The following is a 14,190-nucleotide window of genomic DNA, read 5'->3' as shown; positions in this document are numbered from 1 at the left end:
GGAGGATCACCTGGGCTCAGGGGTTCGAGGCTGCAGTGAACTATGATGGTGCCACTGCACTCCAGCCTGGGTGACAGAGCGAGACCCTGACTCGTAAAACAAACCAGAGAGTTAAAGTCAGAAGGCTTGTCCACGGTTCCTTAGGTTTTGTTCCAAAACGCACATCTGGGCTGTGGTCACAGAGTTGCTTATTTCAACCCTGGGATGACCTAGTGGCCCCTTTACCAAAACCACCTTTAGTGACCTCTCATTGGTAGCCTGAAATCAGCCACAATGGAAGTGTTTACACCAGGGAAATTGGAAATCAGTAAAGGCCTTCCTTCCAAGCCATTGTTAAACAGTTACCAGCACACCACTGCATGCCCACAGCTGTTCTAAGAACTCTACATAATTCACTCATTTAATCCTTTCGGCCACCCTGTGATATGTGGTATTATTATTATTCCCATTCTACAGATGGGAAAACTGAGGACCAAGAAGTTTAAGTAACTTGCCCAAAGTCACACAACTGTAGAGGATGCAGGCTTTAAACCTAGACATTCTGGATCCACTGTCTGTGTTGTTGACTGCTGAACTCTATAGCTCACTGAAACCCTGACTTCGTGGACATTATTGCTTAGAGTTATGCTGAGAAAGGCAGAAAAAAAAATCACACAGTAGGTTGACTTAAAAAAATATGGGCTGGGTGCAGTGGCTCACGACTGCAATCCCTGCACTTTTGGAGGCTGAGGCAAGAGGATCACTTGAGCCCGGGAGTTTGAGACAAGCCTGGGCAACATAATGAGACCCCTATCACTGTAAAAAAAAATTTAAAGGCTGGGCGCGGTGGCTCACGCCTGTAATCCCAGCACTTTGGGAGGCCAAGGCGGGCAGATCACCTGAGGTCAGGAGCAGAAGTTGGAGACCAGCCTGGCCGACATGGCAAAGCCCTGTCTCTACTAAAAATACAAAATTAGCTGGGCATGGTGGTGCATGCCTGTAGTCCCAGCTACTCGGGAAGCTGAGGCAGGAGAATCGCCTGAACCCGGGAGGAGGAGATTGCAGTGAGCCAAGATTGCACCATTGCATTCCAGCCTGGGCAACAAAAGCAAAACTCTGTCTCAAAAAAAAAAAAAAAAAAAGATTAAAAATTAGCTGGGCATAGTGGTGCAGGCCTGGAGTCCCAGCTACTCAGGAGGCTGAGGTGGGAGGATGGCTTGAGCCTGGGAAGTTGAGGCTACAGCCCCCACCCTCATCCCGAGCTGACCGCTGCCTGGACCTAACACCTGAGCTTGGCTTTGCTGGTTTGTGTTAATGTTTTACACACAGGGTGGACTTTTTGTCTGGCTGCTTTCCCTCCCCGTCGTGTCTGAACTCCATACAAATTTAGGGTTTAGTTGTAAATCATTCTTTCTCAACTTTTGCACAGTTTTTCATGGTTGGTTGTATATGTTTTGGGGAGACAGAAGACATCAACCAATACATGATTTTCACAAATTTACACCCCTATTTATTCACCCATTCCACTGTGATGAGTATTGGGGTGGTTTCTTATTTGAAGCTATTATGAAGAGAGCTGCTATGAACATTCTAGGACATTCTAGGCTTTTGGTGTGTACATTTCTATTGCGTATATCCTAGGAGTGGACTTGCTGGGTCATAGGAATACAAGCGTCCAGGGAAAGATGGAGTTTTATCTGAAATCTCCTGACTTTACAGTGACAGAGGCTAATGCATATATTTTTTTAAACAACAAAGACTCAGCCAAGCAAAACATTCTTCAGGCAAGTCAGACCTGCTAGTGGCCAATTTACAGCCTTTAGTCTAGATTAGACTTCGCTTTCTCTACTAGCCCAAGATCTGTTTCATTGTTTCATTTTGTTTTTTACATTTTTATAACTGTTTTCATTATAAAAGAACTATAACTGCATTATGAAAAATTCAGAAAATGGAGTAAAGAAAATAAATTCACCAAGAGTTCAGCCCCCTAAAGCAAACACAGTCATAGCTTCGTATATCTTGTTCTAGTGCTTTTTTCCTGTGCATATGTATTTTAAAATAAATTTGCAATATTGCTTCATATAAATTATATAAACTGCCATTTGATGTGATCATTTTTGCATTTGCCTGTTATTACACAGTCGTCATATTCCACTACGGTCGGTTTTCGATTCACTTAATTTTCTGAGTAGAGAAAACAATTCCTGTCTTTCTATTTTAGACTTATTAAATCTATAAATAAAAGGCTGCTGGAAAGAGGGCGTTTTCTGCTATAATAATAAGGCTTTATTCAAGGCATAAGGAATGTGGTTTTAAGAGGATGAAGCTGGACACAGTGGCTCATGCCTGTAATCCCAGCACTTTGGGAGGCCGAGGCAGGCAGATCACTTGAGGTCAGGAGTTCAAGATCAGCCTGGCCAACATGGCAAAAGCCCATCTTACAAAAATTACAAAAATTAGCCAGGTGTGGTGGTGTGCGCCTGTGGTCCCAGCTACTCAGGAGGCTGAGGTGGGAGAATCGCTTGAGCCCAGGAGGCGGAGGTTGCAGCGAGCTGAGATCACACCACTGCACTCCAGCCTCGGCAACGATGAGACCCTGTCTAAAAAAAAAAAAAAAGGATGGAGCCTGCAGCCACACTACTTGGATTCAGAATCCTAACTCTACTCAATCCCCACTGAGTGACCACTCCAGGCCTCGGTTTGCTTCATCTTGAAAATGGAGATGATAAACAGCTCCTGACTCACAGCTTGTCATGAGGATTAAATGAGGTGATACCTGTAATGTGCTCAGAACAGGGGTTGGAATGTTACAAACATATAGCAAGGGTTGGCTATTGATTACTAGGTACAATGGTCACTATTTTGTTCATCATAGAACGAAAGCCCAGCAAGAACCCCTGTGAACATTTGTGGGAATATTCTGCTGGGCTTGTATTAGTGCCTACGTAATATGCACATGCAGACACCAAATGTGCAGATTCACACATGTATACTGTTTTGTTATCTGTTTCTTGGCGACTCTAAATTTTTTCTTTTCTTTTCTTTTTTTTTGAGATGGAGTCTTGCTGTGTCACCCAGGCTGGTGTGCAGTAGAGCAATTTCAGCTCACTGCAACCTCCGGCTCCTGGGTTCAAGTGATTCTCCTGCCTCAGCCTCCCAAGTAGCTGGGACTACACCTCAGCCTCCCAAGTAGCTGGGTGCATGCCATGATGCCTGGCTAATTTTTGTATTTTTAGTAGAGACAGGGTTTCGCCTTGTTGGCCAAGCTAGTCTCGAACTCCTGACCTCAGGTTATCTAGCCGCCTCAGCCTGCCAAAGTGCTAGGATTACAGGCGTGAGCCACCATGCCCGGCCTAAATTTTCTTTCTGTGTCATTGTTGGGAGACAGTTCTCCATGGGTCTCTCAGGTTTCTACATGTCTTGCAAGTAGAAGAACTATCTTTACAAGGATGTTTATATAGCAAACAACTTTGTTAGACAGAGACAGTGTGTCCCCTCAGATCAAAGGGCAAATTTGTTTTCTGTCCAATATAGATAGATGTTTGCCCCCAGGGCAAGGATCAGGATTTCTTATAAGAAATTTGGGCTCCCTGAGCTCAGGGATCCTCAGCTGTGAGAAATGTGCTGTGTGCGCAACACCCACCCCTTCCGGGCCCCTTTGCATGGCCCCTGTGGGACTTGGGGACAAGGGAAACCGATGCAAACATAAAGCTCATGCTACTTGCTGTGCTGCGAGTAATAAAGTCACTTGTCTCTGACCCAGGAGGCTCGTGTCTTCTGCCAGCAACCATGGCACTGCAGCAGGCTCACCTGGGGGCTTTCACAGAGGGTCAAATCCCAGCTCATCCATGGGCCTTGAGAATCATGAAACAGTCTTCCCCAGCATCACTTCCAGGTTCTACCAGAGTCCCCTCATTTGGCCCCTCTATCATTCTTTGGGTTAATCTTCCATCTTTGGAAACGTAGCTTGCTTTCCATTTTGTCACTGTTTTAAACAATGCTGTAGTGTGCACTTGTAGCTGAGCTTCGTTCTCATGTGACTACCCCGATACTGTAAATCAGAGATTCTGAGGAGTGTTGGCAGGACCCCTGATGCCAGCAAGTTCAGCCTCTTGATGCCCATCGCACATTGAGGCCTAGTGGGTCCTGAGCCACTGGGAGTTCCCCTCACCCCTCATTCTCCACTGGCCTCTCTCCCTGGGCCTGTAGAATCTTCCCAGCCTCCCTCATCCTCCCGAGTCTCCCTGGGGGGCATTTAACACACTGGACTCTAATTGAGGGGTCCTTTCTCTCCAGATCCTGAGCTCTTTGAGGGCAGGGACTTCCTCATCCTTGTGTCCCCAGGACCTGGCACATTGGGTGCTCATCCAATGTTAACAGAACCTAAACAGAAACCATCAACAGATTCAAAAAGGACATCCAGGCACCGTACGTTAGGGCGTCGAGCCTACTGGTTCACTCTCGTACCTCTGTACTCCAGGAGGTATTCTGAGTGTCGCAGAATCACATCTACTGTCAGGGAGCTGCAGTCAAAGGAAACCAAGGACTGGAAGGAAGAGTTGCACTGAGGAGGGGCAGAGTCAGCTCCTTAACCTCCCTAAGGCTTCTCACAGTGAGCCCTCTAGAAAGGTTTATTTATTTATCTTTTACTTTTACTTTTTGATTTGTATTATTTATTTATTTATTTATTTGAGATGGAGTCTAGCTTTGTTGCCTAGGTTGGAGTGCAGTGGCGTGATGTCGGCTCACTGCAATCTCCACCTCCCAGGTTCAAGTGATTTTCCTGCCTCAGCCTCATGAGTAGCTGGGATTACAGGCATGTGCCACCACACCCGGCTAATTTTTGTATTTTTAGTAGAGATGGGGTTTCATCATGTTAGCCATGCTGGTCTTGAACTCCTGACCTCAGGTGATCCGCCTGCCTTGGCCTCCCAAAGTGCTGGGATTACAGATATGAGCCACCACGCCCGGCCTTATTTTTATTTTTTAAGCCCCCATTCTGAGAAGCAACTTTTATTTTTTATTGAGATACAGTATATACAGAGAAGTGCACACGTCTGAAGTGTACAGCTCCAAGAACACTCACACACTAAGCACAACCATGCAATGGCATTCAGGTCAATAACACACTAGTGTCAGCCCCCAAGCCCCACTTCATGCCCCCTATTGAGTCACCCTCAACAGTAAGCGTGACTCGAACTTCCAACAGCACAGAACCATATGCTGTGTACGCTGTTGTGTCTGGCTTCTTTCATTCCGTATTGTTTGTGAGAGTCGGCCATATTGTGTGTAGTTTGAAGCCATTCTTCTTTCTGTGTGGTTTTCCATCACTTGGACAGACCACATTTATTTAGCCATTCTACTATTGATGGGCATTTGGGTGGTTTCCAATGTGGGGCTATTGTGAACAGTGTTGCAAAGAACATTCTAGTTCAACTCCTTATCCACACACATCCCCCTTCTGGGTGTATACACAGTGAAAATGCTGGGTTATGGTGCAGATCTATGGTCTGCTTTAGTGGATGCTCTGAAATTCTTAGAAAAATATTTATTTAATGAATAACTTTCCTGAGTCAAAGAATCAGGGTGATGGATAAGTTGAAATTATAGCTACAGTCAGGGCCAGTCTCGTGGGTAATTATCTCCCAGGGCAGCAGCCAAGGGCCCTGCACTCAGAAGGGCCTGTGCTTGGGATTTAATTCTTTGAAATTCCTAATAATTTTACTGATGGGACAACAGAGCATGTCCCGATTACCCTCCGCATCCCCCGGTGGCATCGGCAGAAGGCCTGGCTGACATTTATGGCTGAGAGGTTGTCAGTCCCCTGGGGCTGGCGTGAAGGAGCCATGGGGGACATAGCCCTGAAGGGGCCAAGGGGTCTCCGACAGCTGGGCAGCCTAAGGCTGGGGAGTGGCCATTTCGGAGCGTGAAAAGCTTGTGAAATGATCTTGAGGCCCCATTCATAATGCATGAGAGGTCGGGTGGGGGAGCCTCTCTGGACACAGGGCCTTTGTTCCTGCCAGGACTATGGGAGCACTTTCTTCATAATCGTCTCAGAGAGGAAGGAAGCGAAGAAGATTTATCTCCCAGAGTCGAATCCGCTTCCTTGGGAGAGGCGGCTATCTGTCCCTCACAGAACTGAGTGCCCCCAAGAGAATTCTTTGCAATGAGTTACAAAGAGCCAGACTTTGAAGGGTCAAAGATATATAGCTTGCTGACACAGCCTTAGATAATATACATTGTGTGCATGGAGAGAGAGAGAGAAGCTTCTCCCCACACCAGCCTTTTTCACAGCTGTCTATATTGTGCGCCCTCCCAGCCTCCTTGTGAAGGAGTTTTGTTTGTTTGCTTTGCTTTGTTTTTAAACAGGAGAAAGAAAATGACAATAGAGGATAGGATTTTCTCTAAACCCCCAGCACAAAAGTCAATAGCTCAGCTAGAAATGGGCTTGAGGCCAATGGTCAATTAATCAATCACCAAACACATTTTGAGGGCATTTCTAGAAGGGGCGCCCATAGGATAGTCAGCATGAGATGGCTGGGCAGTGAGTCTGGGGCTGCTGCAGCGGGTGGGGTGGGGCCTGGCTAAATGTGTTTCCTGGAAACTTCAAGGCGAATCTGTTTTTTGCAAACTGCTGACTGTTTCCTGCTTCCATATGGGCGCCCTGTTGGCACTATGGGACCCTGCCCCGTGGGGTGGAGCTGATTGGACCAGGGCTGGACACCTGACCCAAGCTGGGCTAATCAGAGTCTCTGTCTCATGAAATTGCCATTGGGTCTGATATCTGGGACAAAGGAGATGGAGTCTTGGGTGGGGCCAGCAGCCGTGTTGTCTCTCTCAGAGAGAAAATAAGACAGAAATGGGCCAGGCACGGTGGCTCACACCTGTAATCCCAGCACTTTGGGAGGCCGAGGTGGGCGGATCACCTGAGGTCAGGAGTTCGAGATCAGCCTGGCCAACATGGTGAAACCCCATCTCTACTAAAAATACAAAAATTGATCGAGCATGGTGGTGTGTGCCTGTAGTCCCAGCTACTCGGGATGCTGAGGCAGGAGAATCGCTTGAACCTGGGAGGCGGAGGTTGCAGTGAGCCGAGATCACGCTACTGCATTGCAGCCTGGGCGACAGAGCAAGACATCATCTAAAAAAAAAAAAAAAAAAAAAAAAAAAAAACAGAATAAGACAAATGAAGCACAAGTAGAGACAGAGGGAGAGAGAGACTGTGAGCGAGTACCGGCCTCCTGGACTCTGGTTTTCCAGGCCCTGCTTCCAGTTCTCACCTTTGGGTTCTGAGAGACACCCCTTGTCCTTCTCGTAAATCTCCCCTTGGTAATCCAAGTTACCAGAATGGCTTTATGCAGGGCCAACTACAGAACTTAGAGGCTTAATGCAAAAGGAAATGGTGGGGCCTTTTGTTCAAAATGTGTTAAGAATTTCAATATGGCAGCAGCAGAACCCGAAACAAAGCATGAAGCCATTCTGAATGCGAGCCTGTGCGGCTGGTAGCTTGCGTGCCCGTGGAGGCCGCCGTGGGTTTATGTCGGCTGCAACCAAAAGAACCTTGAGCAAGACTGTCCTGTTTGGAAAGGTGGCCTTCCCGTGTGAAGGAAAGGCATTGAAATGGCTATGTTGTCTGGGGTATACACCCTGGGGTTGTTTGTCTCCTGCGGAGAAAGAATTCAGGACACGGACATATGTGGGTGAGTTAAGGAGTGGAAAGTTTAATAGAAGGAAGAAGAGAGGAGAGCAGCTCCTTGAGAGAGAACGTCGGAAAAAAAGGGGGAGGTGGCGGACCGCATCAGATTTTATAGGCAGGCTGGAGAAGGGGGTGTCTGATTTACGTAGGGCTTACAGATTGGTTCGATCATGTATGACGTTTACGTAGTGTACAGGGAAGTCTGGTTGCCCCACCCTAAACTTATTATACAAATGGACTTCCCAGTTGATTGTGCCATCTTGCCTGCTCCTTTGCACAGGTGGCTGACAAAGACAAAGGAAGATGGAGCCTCCATCTTTAAGATGATTGGCACAACTGCCAGTATCTATGTCTGTAACTCGATTTTACAGGCTGCTCTTTGTTAGAAAAGAAAATAATTTGGGGCTGCTTTTCGTTTAAAAGAAAAGCCTTACTGCGAACTCCCATACCGTTACTATCTGCCTAATTTCTTCTTAACTCCTATATCAGCATTTAGAAATCTTGCCTAGAATTACATCAAAGGGGCAGCTATAGGCAGTAAAACTTCAGAGGACAGAGAAAGTTCGGCATGACTAAACAACATGAAAGAAAAGGCATTCCTGGGGCAGGTGGTCAACAGAGAGCCTTTGGGGGGATGGGAGCAAACGCCTTTAAACTCCATGCTACTGGCCCAAGAGCAGACGGGGCCCAAGGCCCAGGGAGGGCTGTTCGTAGGGCAGATGGTACAGTCCAAGAATCCAAAAGGCACTAACACAGGCGGGATGATGAGGAGGAGTCCAGATCAGATCAGGACAAAGAGACATAGGCCTTTCTCTTCACCAAATGTATCAGCAATGCAGTGAGAGGGGCCAGGCAGGACCCTGACATTTCTTGCTAATGTGTCCAAACACTTGCAGCTTTGGCTATATTATGTTTAATTAACTGGAATTAACTGAATACCGTACTCATTCTCCATGGTGGTTTCAAATACCGCCCTCCAATTCTTTATAAACTCTTAGGTTAGAAAGAAGAAGAAAAGAAAAGAAGAAGGAGAAGAAGAAGGAGAAGGAGGAAGAGGAGGGGAAAGAGGGGGAGGGGGAGGAGTGGGAGAAGGAGGAGGGAGTAGGGGGAGGGGGGAGGAGTGAGAGAAGGAAGAGAAGTTGGGGGAGAAGGAGGAAGAAGGGGAGGGAGGAGGAGTGGGAGAAGGAAGAGGAGTAAGGGGAGAAGGAATAGGAGCAGGAGGGGAGGAGTGGGAGAAGGAGGAGGAATGGGGAGAGGAGGAGGAGGAATGGGGGGAAAAGGAGGGCGAGGAGGGGGAGAAGGAGAAAGAAGAAGATGATTTTGGATTGGATAAAACCGTTCTGTGTGCAGCATCCGAGTTGCTGGGGCTCCGAGTGGAAGGGGATCAGTCAGCGGTGACCATACAGGGGGCTCTCTTAGCTGGCTGTGTCTGCCCAGGTCAGGAGCACATTGCATCTAGGCACCATGCTGAGGGCTGATGGGGCATGGGCGTATCAGAGATAGCCTGCCTCTCTGCCTCTTTCCAGATCGCTCATTAGACTGTTGGCCAGGACATGCTGAGCCCATAGCCCTGTGACATGTCACCCCCTTGGGTGGCCATCAGTCCTGCCCATGAATCAGTAGGTTCCCATTCAGGGCTGTCTTGCAACAATTTGGAACCCACCTAACTGGATTAAATGTCAAGGAAATAATGAGAGACCTTGCCAGCCATCTGACATCCAGGTTCACTGTGTCTGTTGCCTTTTCCTGGTTGACAGCCTTTTGTAGCCTGTTGGAAATAGGTTGGCATGGTGCTCTTAGTGTCATGGAGATCAGGCTTAGGTTGTGAATGGGTCTAGATCTGAGTCACAGCATCTCCACTTATGGGCTCTGTAGCCTTGGGAAAGTCACTTAACCTGTCTGAGCTTCCCTTTTCCTCAGCTGGAAAATGAGAATAATAATATTTCTTTATCCCCCCAAGATGGCTATGAGGCATAGGGAGATAATTTGATCTTTAATGATCTGGAAATCATTCGATAAAGTTGCCTGGCATGTAGTGATGGAAATTACTAATATTATTATTAATTCATGTGACTTCGTCATGAACATGAATGATTTCTTTTCCAAGTGTTTCCCGCTTTCCAGGTCCTCCATTGAATAATCCATTCTAGAGTCCTGGCTGGGGCTCACATCAGGCTTGTTTGTTAATCATACCTGAAATAATGCTGTTTCCCCTGGCTCTTTAGTGACCAGAGCTCACCTAGTTTTTCAGGCTTGCACAATAGGTGCATAAAGAGTGAACATCAAAGAGACAACCATGCACTGTAATAAATCACAGAACATCTACTGAAGAGAACATCACTCATTTAGTAAATACTGGTGGGATGCGTGCATGATTTCAGCCACTAAAAGTTATGTTATGAGGCTGGGTGCAGTGGCTCACATCTGTAATCCCAGCTCTTTGGGAGGCTGAGGTGGGCAGTTCACTTGAGGTCAGTTGGAGACCAGCCTGGCCAACATGGCAAAACCACATCTCTACTAAAAATAAAAAAAAATTAGCCAGGCGTGGTGGCACGCACCTGTAGTCCCAGCTACTTGGGAGGTGGAGGCAGGAGGATCACTTGAACCTGGGAGGCAGAGGTTGTAGTCAGCCAAGATTACACCACTGCACTACAGCCTGGGCAACAGAGTGAGACTCTGTCTCAAAAAAAAAATTATGATATCAAGTGAAAAAAAATATAAAATTGTATAATTCTGTGTTGCTTCACTTCATGTGACAAGATTATAATTAAGATGTATAAATAGTCACAGGTTAAAAAAAGGAAAGAAAGGAGGGCGATTCACAGAACTGCTAGGGGTGGCCGTATTCCAGCTGCATATATGTGGTTGTGCAGACAGAAGTTAGTATAGCAGGCTTGAGACTGCTATCTTTCGGAAGACCTGCTTGCTAGGTTGACTCTTGGCTGGTGTCTGGGAACTTGGCACTTGAGCTGTTTCCTAAATGATAAAAGTGGTTCACTGTGCTTAGACCACAAACAATGTGGTTCGTGCTAAACACGTGCTTCCCTTCGGGAGCTGGGAATTTGGTACCTGCTAAGAAGAAGGTGCCAACTGACCAGCCCTTAGAAAAACTCTGGGGTGCTGAGTCTCTGATGGGCTTCCTTGGACAGAAGCCTTGCAGACACACAGCTGCATTTTTGTTGATGGGGACGGAATGTGCTCTGTGCAACCCTTCTTGGGGAGGGGAGGGCGTGAGAGAGCCTCATAATGGACTCCTGCAGACTCCAACTCTACGGTTTCGCCTTTTGAGCTGATTGTGTATCCTTACTGCACTGTTGTAAATAAATCTTAGCCACACATACAGCTACCTGAATATGCCGAAGCCCATATGAATTCTTTTAGCAAATCTATGAATGTGAGGGTGGTCTTCGGGACTCCCAGCATAATCTGTGTGAGGTTTCTTGCTTCTCTCTTCTGGAAGGTGGTTATGTTACTTTCATAAGGAAAAAAAATAAACACGCTTCTAAATTTTGCCAAATGAATGTGCAGCTATGATGTTCTGACAGTCATAAGGTTGTGTTCCTGGTGCCGCATCCTCAGCGGGAGTTTCCAGTAGCCGCTTAGCTGGCAGCTTCCTTCCTGCCCTGGCCTTGGCTCTAACATCCCTCCTATGGAGATTGTCAGAAGCCACCACTAACTCTCTTCCTACTGGGCCGCAGGCAGGAAACGACCCAGATAGCCTGGAGCTGAGGCCTTGCCCTGAAAGGGAACCGCACATGAATGCAACAAGACACAAGAACTCCCAAATATGGACATGAGATGTTAAGCAGCCAAGAATGTGCTTTTAGAAATGGTACCAAGTTCCTCGGCTGCTCCTGGGGAATTCCTCTCGGGAATGCGGAGGCGAATGGTCATTCTTTTCTGGAAAGGTCACTGCTTGTGTTAACATTCACCCTCCCAGTGAGTGCCCTGGCTGAGCTTGTGAATGAGAGAATCAGAATGGAGGGATTTCAGCAAGCAGAGGGGACTAAAGGGACATTTTGCCAAAAATGCAAACCCAGCAGCCAAGATTGCAGTCATTTTCAATAAATGTCAAGCTGCAATACATTTTCAAGTTGCAATCAGTTTGCAAGTTGGTAACATTTTTGGGTTCCTTTGTTCAGGTTCTGGCTTGTCTGCTTGGAGGGTGCGTTCATCTGGAGTGTCAAGACTGACCTGGGGGCGGAGGTGTGGGTGGCGCCGGGGACTTGTTCACCTGGGAAGGATACCACGTCTCTCAGCCTTTGGAAGGAGTGAATGGATGAGCAAATGAATGAGTGCATGAGCAGGCATGATGCTTAGAAACGCAGTGAACCAACTCCGATCCCAAACTGCAGCAGGCTTCATGACAAAGGGAGCAGAACGTACTGGTGAGAACAAGGGCTGTGCTGTCAGACAGACTTGGTTTCCAGACCTGCCTCCACCACAGTGAACTGGGACAAGCCATGCATCTGACTTGTGTATTGGCCACAGATATCTTGGGCAAGATCTCTGAGCATCTGTTTCCTCATCTGTCGCATGGTGCCCATCATTTCTACTTTGAGGGGCACTGTGAGATGAAATGCAATCATGCATGTCAAGTGCAGGCACTCAGGCAGCTACCGGCTCCTCAGGGTTTATTAGGAGGGCACATCAGGAGGAGGGTAAAGTTTCTACCTTCCAGCTGGGTGTGGCTCACACCTGTAATCCCAGCACTTTGGGAGGCTGAAGTGGGAGGATCGCTTGAGACCAGGAGTTAAAGTCCAGCCTGGGCAACATAGCGAGATCCCGTCTCTACAGAAAATAGGAAAATTAGCTGGGTATGGTGGCATGCGCCTGTGGTCCCAACTACTCAGGAGCCTCAGGTGGGAGGATCGCTTGAGCCCAGGAGGTTGAGGCTGTGGTGAGCTATGATCGTGCCACTGTACTCCAGCCTGGGCGACAGAGTAAGACCCTGTCTCAAAAAAAATAGTTTCTACATTATGGTGGGGGCAGAAAGGAAGGGTGGGGAAAGAAAATTAACCTTTATCAAAATCAAAATGTACCAGGAACTTTAAATTTTATTTAATCCAAATCGGAAGTCTTTTCAGGTGGGGTTGGCCTTTTCAAAAATTAATGTACACATGAATTCCTTAGAGATTTCATTAAAATGTAGACTCTGATTTAGCAGGTCCCAGGTTGGGGGCTGAGAGTCAGGATTTCCTTTTTTTTTCTCCCTGCCTGGCTAATTTTTAAATGTTTTATAGAGACAGGGTCTCATTATGTTGCCCAGGCTGGTCTCAAACTCCCGGGCTCAAGCACTTGTCCTGCCTCAGCCTCTCTAACTAAGTGCTGGGACTACAAGTGTGAGCCATGCCACTCAGCCCCACCTGCATTTCTGTCAAGCTGGAGGGTGATGCTAATGCTCCTGGTCTGTGACCACACTTTGAAAGACAAGAAGGTAGGCAACTCTTACTGTGCCCATTGCATAGATGAGGAAACCGAGGCTCAATGAGGAAACCCAGGACTGTCTGGCTCCAAAGCCCGTACTCTTTCTCTTGTGTGGCTCAAGGTTTCTCAGTGGCTGATGACCGTCTGATGGGCGTATGCCATCAGGGAAGGGTGACACACCCAGAGGATTGAAGAGTCTCTTCAGAGAGGATGGGCAGGTCAGAGGGACCAGAACAGGATGCCAGAGCACCCAGCAAGCTGCAGCAGGTGTGAGAGGAGAGAATGGTGTCAGGGAGTTTGCGAGCCAGCGACGCAGCATGGGATGAGGTTTACAGACAGGAGCCAAGACCATAGCAGAAGAATGGAGCCACTGCTGAAAGCAAACCCAGTGTGAGTGGCGCTGAGGGGAGGGTGACGGGTGCCCTGGCCTCTGTCTCCTGCCAGCCTCTGAGCTCCTGCTAGTGCCTCCCACTGGCCAAATCCAAGGGAGCCTAAGGGACGAGATCCTAGAGATCAGCTTTCCGGGCTGGAGAGCAGAGAAGAGAAAGATCGAGAATGGGTGGGGAAGGGCACACAGGAAGTAGTTGGCATGTCCTGGAATCCCAGATCTGCTACTTACTAGACACATGGTCTTGGGCCAGACATTATCATCTCTGAGCCTTGGTTTCTGTCACTGCAAAGTAGAGCAAATAATAGGCCCTTTCCCACAGGCTTATGGCAAACATCATCAAGGTACTGCACGTCACCGCCACTTGTAATAACCCTGCTGATCAGGAAAGAAGTTTTGGGAAAGGAAACTCAGATGCCAAGAGCTAAAGATACAGTGGTTCTGTTAAAAGTGTCAAGAGTTCAAGCTGGAGTTCTGCTTTGCAAATAACAAGACCTCCAGGCCCTCTGTAATGTAGTGGTGGATCAGTCCCAAATCACCAGCACTCTGCTCAAGCATAGCAACTGTCTCCACATTTTGATGGTTTACATACAGTGCAGAGGCTTTGAAGATGCTACTTGATGCAGCTTTGGCTGCATCTGATGACTCTGGTGGAGAAACAACTGAGTAGACAGGGAGCTGCAAAACAACAACCCGTTCC

General features: G+C 47.5%; 6 annotated features.

Annotated features, from left to right (window-relative positions):
• Positions 2,572-2,866: a silencer, noted in NCBI's record as "tiled region #4738; K562 Repressive DNase matched - State 5:Enh". NCBI's record gives its function as "represses a minimal TATA promoter and a strong SV40 promoter by Sharpr-MPRA in K562 cells {active_cell/tissue: K562}" and the evidence as "EXISTENCE:reporter gene assay evidence [ECO:0000049][PMID:27701403]".
• Positions 10,142-10,818: an enhancer, noted in NCBI's record as "H3K27ac hESC enhancer chr16:84566717-84567393 (GRCh37/hg19 assembly coordinates)". NCBI's record gives its function as "activates a minimal SCP1, AML or CMV promoter by ChIP-STARR-seq in primed H9 embryonic stem cells {active_cell/tissue: H9 hESC(primed)}" and the evidence as "EXISTENCE:reporter gene assay evidence [ECO:0000049][PMID:30033119]".
• Positions 10,819-11,497: an enhancer, noted in NCBI's record as "H3K27ac hESC enhancer chr16:84566038-84566716 (GRCh37/hg19 assembly coordinates)". NCBI's record gives its function as "activates a minimal SCP1, AML or CMV promoter by ChIP-STARR-seq in primed H9 embryonic stem cells {active_cell/tissue: H9 hESC(primed)}" and the evidence as "EXISTENCE:reporter gene assay evidence [ECO:0000049][PMID:30033119]".
• Positions 11,498-12,175: an enhancer, noted in NCBI's record as "H3K27ac-H3K4me1 hESC enhancer chr16:84565360-84566037 (GRCh37/hg19 assembly coordinates)". NCBI's record gives its function as "activates a minimal SCP1, AML or CMV promoter by ChIP-STARR-seq in primed H9 embryonic stem cells {active_cell/tissue: H9 hESC(primed)}" and the evidence as "EXISTENCE:reporter gene assay evidence [ECO:0000049][PMID:30033119]".
• Positions 11,712-12,006: a silencer, noted in NCBI's record as "tiled region #8267; HepG2 Repressive non-DNase unmatched - State 22:ReprW, and K562 Repressive non-DNase unmatched - State 20:ReprD". NCBI's record gives its function as "represses a minimal TATA promoter and a strong SV40 promoter by Sharpr-MPRA in HepG2 and K562 cells {active_cell/tissue: HepG2 | K562}" and the evidence as "EXISTENCE:reporter gene assay evidence [ECO:0000049][PMID:27701403]".
• Positions 12,289-12,502: a silencer, noted in NCBI's record as "fragment chr16:84565033-84565246 (GRCh37/hg19 assembly coordinates)". NCBI's record gives its function as "represses an EF-1alpha promoter that drives an FKBP-Casp9 reporter gene in an ReSE screen in HepG2 liver carcinoma cells {active_cell/tissue: HepG2}" and the evidence as "EXISTENCE:reporter gene assay evidence [ECO:0000049][PMID:32094911]".

Source organism: Homo sapiens, chromosome 16 (genome assembly GCF_000001405.40).
Source record: "Homo sapiens chromosome 16, GRCh38.p14 Primary Assembly".
NCBI lineage: Eukaryota > Metazoa > Chordata > Mammalia > Primates > Hominidae > Homo > Homo sapiens.
Note: the sequence above shows the minus strand (reverse complement) of the source record. Positions and strands in the feature narration are given on the sequence as shown.